General features: G+C 42.0%; 3 annotated features.

The window, feature by feature from the left end:
* Window positions 299-528: an enhancer, noted in NCBI's record as "active region_22043". NCBI's record gives its function as "activates an Ori minimal core promoter by ATAC-STARR-seq in GM12878 lymphoblastoid cells {active_cell/tissue: GM12878}" and the evidence as "EXISTENCE:reporter gene assay evidence [ECO:0000049][PMID:35858748]".
* Window positions 559-608: an enhancer, noted in NCBI's record as "active region_22044". NCBI's record gives its function as "activates an Ori minimal core promoter by ATAC-STARR-seq in GM12878 lymphoblastoid cells {active_cell/tissue: GM12878}" and the evidence as "EXISTENCE:reporter gene assay evidence [ECO:0000049][PMID:35858748]".
* Window positions 4,080-4,591: an enhancer, noted in NCBI's record as "OCT4-NANOG-H3K27ac hESC enhancer chr4:153621867-153622378 (GRCh37/hg19 assembly coordinates)". NCBI's record gives its function as "activates a minimal SCP1, AML or CMV promoter by ChIP-STARR-seq in naive and primed H9 embryonic stem cells {active_cell/tissue: H9 hESC(naive and primed)}" and the evidence as "EXISTENCE:reporter gene assay evidence [ECO:0000049][PMID:30033119]".

Here is a 7,121-nt window from a genome sequence, read left to right on the forward strand (position 1 = left end):
TTATGAGCATTTATTCTAAATATCTGTGCAAATATAAATATATTAAATTTACTTTCTATTTAGGAAATCAAAGAAGTTGGGAGAATAGAAAAGATCATTAGACACAAACAAAAGATGGTACACAAAGGGAAATGAAAATAAAACATGAATGACAAGAGAAGTTAGGGTAAAACTGATCCACACCAGTGCTTCTCCAGGAGCCATAGCCTTGATCTGAGGCATCAGGGCAGTGCTTTGTCCGTGGAGTGTGCTAGAACCATGAGGTCATCCTCTCTGATGGTGGTCACCCTCTCTGATGGTTCTATTACTTTTAATTGCAAAAACAGCAATTGCTTTTGCACCAGCCTAATAAGTATATGCTGGGCTCCAGAACTGAAGAGGACTGAACGTCATAGGAGGCTGTGGCTAAAGAAACTGGAAATGGTTCAGAGAAGAGAAACCAAGATGACTAATAAAGGGGAGCACAATGAAGCCTTTGAGCAGAGGTGAAAGAAAGCACAACTGTGCGGCCGGAAAGAAAGGAGGGCTGAGACAACGTAATACCATTCATGTAGATGAGGGGTGTGCACCTCTAAGGGGTGACTTGCTGTTCTCTATTTTCACTGAGGACTGAAAAAGGAGAACAAATAATAAACATTACTCTGTATGTCTAAGGGTTTTTTACTTTGCCAGAATTTTTTTTTTTCCCAGTGACTGATATCATCCTTACATTTTGAGATACTGACTGTCCTTGCACAGGGATTTAGGTTTGCATAGGAGAAACTACCACGGTGGCTGTTAAAGCATCCAGTGAGATTTTCCAAGGAGGGCACAGACTCTTCTTTCAATGATCAAAATAGAACCATTCTTCATCACATAGGGATGCTTTCTACATTGCCCTGCCTAAGAACCAAGAATAGTAAGTATACATTCCATTTCTAGAATACATTAATTGAATGTCTTTCTCCTTTCTAAACTCATTGGGCCTGTGAAACAATCATTTGAGGTCACGAGGAAGATATTATCTTCCCATTGTCCAGGTGAGAAAATGAAGGTTTAGAGGAAGGAAGTGACCTGCCCAAGGCCCCACAGTGAATGGTAAGCTAGAGTATATTCCAGATCTAGGGATTCTGGGTTTCCAGGACTCTTGCCACACTAGTCAATCTCTGAGATCAGAATCACCTGCAGGGCTTGTTGAAACACGGATTGCTGGATCCAGCCCCAGAGTTTCTGATTCTGTAGGTCTTGGGTGGGGCCTGAGAATTTGCATTTCCAACAAGCTCCAGGTAATGCTGCTGCTGTCTGGGAACCACACTCTGAGAATGACTGTGTTATACCACACCTGCCAGCCAACTAGAGCTGTGAAAGGAAAACACTTCAGTAAGACCTCAAACCCAGAGAATTTTCATTCAGACCTCAGACTCAGAGAAGTTTTATTTAACTTGAAAAATCATCTGCATGAAACTCACTAATTTCTGACCACCTTCCAAGCAACTGGCCCCTGTGTTATCAGAACACATTAGCACACAAGTCCACTCACAGTGCAGAGTCCAAGCCTCGCTTCCACACACTTTCCCAGAGCAATACAACCCAAAGAGGTAGAAGTGGAGCAGGGGAACTAAGAAATATTGAGCACTTATTCTATGACAGGCAGTGTTCAGAGTCTTGTATAACTCCTTATTTTATGTTTACAGTCACTCTGATAGAGAAACAATTATTCCCATTTTACAGAGGAAGAAATTGAGGCTCAAAAGGGTTACACAACTTTCCTAGGAAAACAACTAGAATATTCAGCTTCCAAACTATATATTTTTTTGACATCACAGATTCAACTATTTTAGATCCATTCCCTAACTTGTATTCTATCCACCCTAATTTTTAGCCCCTTAGCACATTTCTCTCCCCCATTCTTCAGGGTTAGTGAGCCTCCCGTCTTCAGCCTATGGGCATTGCACTTAATTTCTTTCTAATTCATAAAGCTCTTTTCTGAACTTTGGTGCCAGAATCATTTAGGACTTATTGGTTGTCTATTTAGCTTGATGCAAAGACCTAACCTAGAGGGAATTAGTTGGGTAAATTGTGGCACATCCTTATGCTGTTGTACATGGACATAAAAAATGGTTGTGATATATTTGAATTTTATTTTATTTTATTTTTACTTGTCTTTGTCAGGCAATATATTTGAATTTTAAAAAGCAAGTTACAATCATGCACAGTGTACTACTTTTTGTTAAAAAAAAAAAAAAACCACATGCATGCAAAAATGCACATTCACACATTGCAACCTACACAGCCTAGAAGAGTATACACCAAAATGTGAGCAATGATGAACTCAGAGTGGTGAAATTATGGGTGACTTTTACATTTTCTTTATTTTGTTTTTCTAAATGTTATGATTTTTCTTTTCTTTTTTTTCTGTCTCTTTATTAGAGACAGAGTTTCACCATGTTGCCCAGGCTGGTCTCAAACTCCTGAGCTCAGGCCATCCATCCACCTCAAACTTCCACACTGCTGGGATTACAGGTGTGAGCCACCATGACTGGACAAAATGTTATGATTTTTCTTGATAGATATGTGTAAGAAGCTTCTTCACCTGCCTTAAACTTCTTATCCTTCTCTCTTCACACTGAGTTCTTTACAAGCTCCTGGTGTTTATTCTCCTAATTAAATATTTAGTTCTATATTCTTCTCTATGCAAGAAAAGAAGAGTTCTTTGGGAGCAGGAAGGAAAAAAACATCCTCCCACCTATGTCCAATTCAAGGAGAAAACAAGCTGGCTACCAAAACTCCCCTGGGGCTCGTGTTTTCTATGCATGGTGAGAACACTATTCAAGGACGTCTAAGAACTGAGCATATATAATAATTATCTCTTTAGGGTTCTTAGGCTCTGCAGGGCATGCATAAGAGTGGAATACACCAACTCATAAATCTAAATGATTTATAACAACATTATATATACCACAATAAATACTTAAAGAAATAAATGAACAAAACTTAGACTTTGCAGTAGTGCTTTAAAAACATTCAAAAATTAATAGCTACAGTTCGAAGCCCTAGATAGAGTAGTAAATTCTCTATCCGTGTAAGTCTTCTAGAGACCCTGGTACAGTGAAGGCTCAAAGCTGTGCAGGTTGGAAGGAGGATTCTGCAGTGTTAAGCCAGGGCCCTTTGGAATGAGCCTCAGGTCCAGGCCTTTTCCAGTGGAGATCTTTCTCCAGCAGAACACAAACCATCAGGTGAATGACCTGGGTTGGGGTAAATTCATTCGGTCACACCCCATGCCTTGGGCCAAACCATGCACCCAGTTAAAGGGAATGGGTGGCTATTTCTGTATCCCCAAGAATAAAACCAACTGTGACCTCTAATGCTATTGGGGCTAGAAAGGGAAGAAATATGCCTTCTTTCATGTGAATTCATGTAAGGGATGAGGATGGGGAATCATTCACTGAGCAAAGATAATTATTTGCAACTAGAACATCCCTAAGCCTGCAAATAAATCTTCAGAATAAGACCATGAGAGTAAAAGCAATTTCTGGCCCAGGTCTCATGCCCTAAGCACTTCACCTAGACAATCCTCCTGAGAAAAACAAAAAAGTCACTCCTTCCCTAGGCCTGCTGGTTCTGGCCTGGAGGCTGGTTGCTTAAACCAATGATTGTTTTCTAGAGAGCTGTCAGGGAGAGCAAAAGTAATGAAATCATTTCATGTTCTTTATCTGGGAGAGTCAGCCTGTGGCATTCTCAGCACTTCTCTTGAGCTGTATCTATCACTGTCAGACTGTCTTGTGGGAGTGGGGCATGCAGATTAAAAATGACTTCACAGCCCCTCCCTCGCAGGTTAGGGAGCATGACATCTATTGGCAGCTGGGCATCTGATGGCTGAGAGCCAGGCACCACATTGCTACATTTCCACTGGGTCCTTGCTGAAAATATTTCTCCTGAATAATATCTTGGCCCTAATGTTGAACCAACTCCATCCCAGACTCACATCCTCTCTGAGATGATCTTTTGGTGATCTTCCACTCTCCACTGTAGCTTTTCTTCCTACCGCAAATTCAACACTGTAGCAGATTTCCCATGGTGTATTGTTATCGGGGGACCTGCCCCGATAATCACGTAGGTTCTTTTCTATTTTCCTAAGCGTCGACTGGCTTGAGAAATAAAAGGACAGAGTACAAAAGAGAGAAATTTTAAAGCTGGGCGTCCGTGGGAGACATCACACATTGGTAGGATCCGTGATGCCCCACAAGCCACAAAACCAGCAAGTTTTTATTAGGGATTTTCAAAAGGGGAGGGAGTGTGCGAATAGGTGTGGGTGACAGACATCAAGTACTTAAAAGGGTAATAGAATATCAAAAGGCAAGTGGAGGCAGGGCGAGATCACAGGACCACAGGACTGAAACGAAATTAAAATTGCTAATGAAGTTTTGGGCACCATTGTCATTGATAACATCTTATCAGGAGACAGGGTTTTGAGATCAACCGGTATGACGAAAATTTATTAGGCGGGAATTTCCTCTTCCTAATAAGCCTGGGAGCGGTATGGGAGACTGGAGTTTATTGCACCTCTGTAATCTCGACCATAAGAGACAGGTACGCCCCGGGGGGCCAGTTCAGAGACCTACCCCTAGGTGCGCATTCTCTTTCTCAGGGACGTTCCATGCTGAGAAAAGGAATTCAGAGATATTTCTCTCATTTACTTTTGAAAGAAGAGAAATATGGCTCTGTTCTGCCTGGCTCACCGGCAGTCAGAATTTAAGGTTATCTCTCTTATTCCCTGAACAATTGCTGTTATCCTGTTCTTTTTTCAGGGTGCCCACATTTCATATCGGTCAAACACACATGCTGTACAATTTGTGTACTTAACGCAATTATTACAAGGTCCTGAGACGATATACATCCTTCTCGGCTGACAGGATTAAGAGATTAAAGTAAAGACAGGCATAGGAAATCACAAGGGTATTGATTGGGGAAGTGATAAGTGTCCATGAAATCTTTACAATTTATGTTTAGAGATTGCAGTAAAGACAGGCATAAGAAATTACAAAAGTATTAATTTGGGGAACTAATAAATGTCCATAAAATCTTCACAATCCACGTTCTTCTGTCATGGCTTCAGCCGGTTCCTCCATTTGGGATCCCTGACTTCCTGCAACATATTGTAAATATGTTTAAGATTTTCTGTATATTGTGATGTTTTGACATCTTAACCTTTCTGGCTGGGGAGAGATTACCCCTCCAGGAGCTAGCCAATTCTTAGAGGTAGCAAAGGACCCAGAGGGGAACATGCCTTTGATAAGCAGACTAACCAGTCCAGAGCCATATCTCCTCTACCTGGCCCTCAGGAGGCAATATTCCATGATTTAATCATCCCCGGGCCTGGTATCAGGAACCTAGGACCACCACTACAGCTCGGAGCCCACCAAAATTATATCTAAACCAGCCAATACCACACTGTCCACCCTGCTCTGCCTCGACATTCCCTCAGAAACCCCAATCAAGCCACTGGCCTAATGTGTAAATACTTAATGGATGGCAAACTAGCACATGAAAAGATGTTCGACGTCATTTACCATTGGCAAAATGCAAGTTAAAACTACAACAAGGCCAGGCGCGGTGGCTAACGCCTGTAATCCCAGCACTTTGGGAGGCCCAGGCAGGTAGACCACCTGAGGTCAGGAGTTCGAGACCAGCCTGACCAACATGGAGAAACCCTGTCTCTACCAAAAGGTACAAAAAAATTAGCCAGACATGAAGGTGTGTGCCTTTAGTCCCAGCTACTTGAGAGGCTGAGGAAAGAGGATCACTCAACCCCGGAAGACAGAGGTTGCAGTGACCTGAGATCGAGCTACTACAGTCCAGCCTGGGTGACACAGCAAGACTCTGTCTCAAACAAACAAACAAACAAACAAAAAACACAACAGGATACCACCACACAGCTACTAGGATGGCTCTAATTCTGTCACCCAGGCTGGAGTGCAGTGGTGCAATCTCGGCTCGCTGCAACCTCTGCCTCCTGGGCTCAGGCTCAGGTGATTCTCTCACCTCAGCCTCCCAAATAGCTGGGACTATGTGCGTGCACCAACCACCACACCCATTTTTTTGTATTTTTTTAGAGATGGGGTTTTGACATATTGCCCAGGCTGGTCTCGAACTCCTGGACTCAAGTGATCTGCCTTCCTTGGCTTCCCAAAGTGCTGGGATTATAGGCATGAGCCATCACAACCATCCAAATGGCTTAAAAACTGGCTGAGCACAATGGCTCATACCAGTGAGGTCTCTTGAGTCAGAAGTTCAAGACCAGCCTGGGTAACATAGAGAGATCACTGACTCTACAAAATATTTTAAAATTAGCCACACATGGTGAGTGGCACAGGCCTGTAGTTCCAGCCTCTCAGGAGGCTGAGGCAGGAGGATTGCTTGAGCCTGGGAGGTGGAGACTACAGCGAGCCATGATTCTGCCACTGCACTCCAGCCTGGGCGACAGAACAAGACCTTGTCTCAAAAAAATATTTAAATAAATGAATAAATAAATAAAAACTAACTAACAATAAATGCTAAGTGCTGGTCAGGATGTTGTGAAGCAGTTGGAACTCTCTTCTACTGCTAATCGGATATAAAATGGTACAACCACTTTGGAAAACAGTTTGACAGTTTCTTTTTACAGTTAAACATGCACTTACCATGTGACCCAACAATCTCACTCCTAACTGAAATAAAATCCTTTGTTCACATAACAAACTTTGCATGAATGTTAATGGTGGCTTTATTTAAAATTTTCAAGGTCTGGAAACCCAAATGTCCTTCAACTGAAATGGATGAACAAACTATGGTACATCTGTACAATGAAATATTACTTAGTAATACAAAGGAATGAATTAGTGATTCATGCTGCAACATGGATAAACCTCAAAAACATGCTAAATGAAAGAAGCCAGACTCAAAAGTCTGCATACTATTTGATTACAGATTTATGGTTTAGTCTGCATCTTCTAGAGTTTTATTTATGCAAAAGCAAATATTTAGGGACAGAAAACAGACCAGTAGTTGCCAGGGACTGGGGGTAGGGGAGAGGGGTTGACTAGAGGAATCTGAGAAAATCCTGGGAGTAATGGAGTGGATCTATATCTTAATTTTACTGATGG

This window comes from Homo sapiens, chromosome 4, assembly GCF_000001405.40.
Source record: "Homo sapiens chromosome 4, GRCh38.p14 Primary Assembly".
NCBI classification, from domain to species: Eukaryota; Metazoa; Chordata; class Mammalia; order Primates; family Hominidae; genus Homo; species Homo sapiens.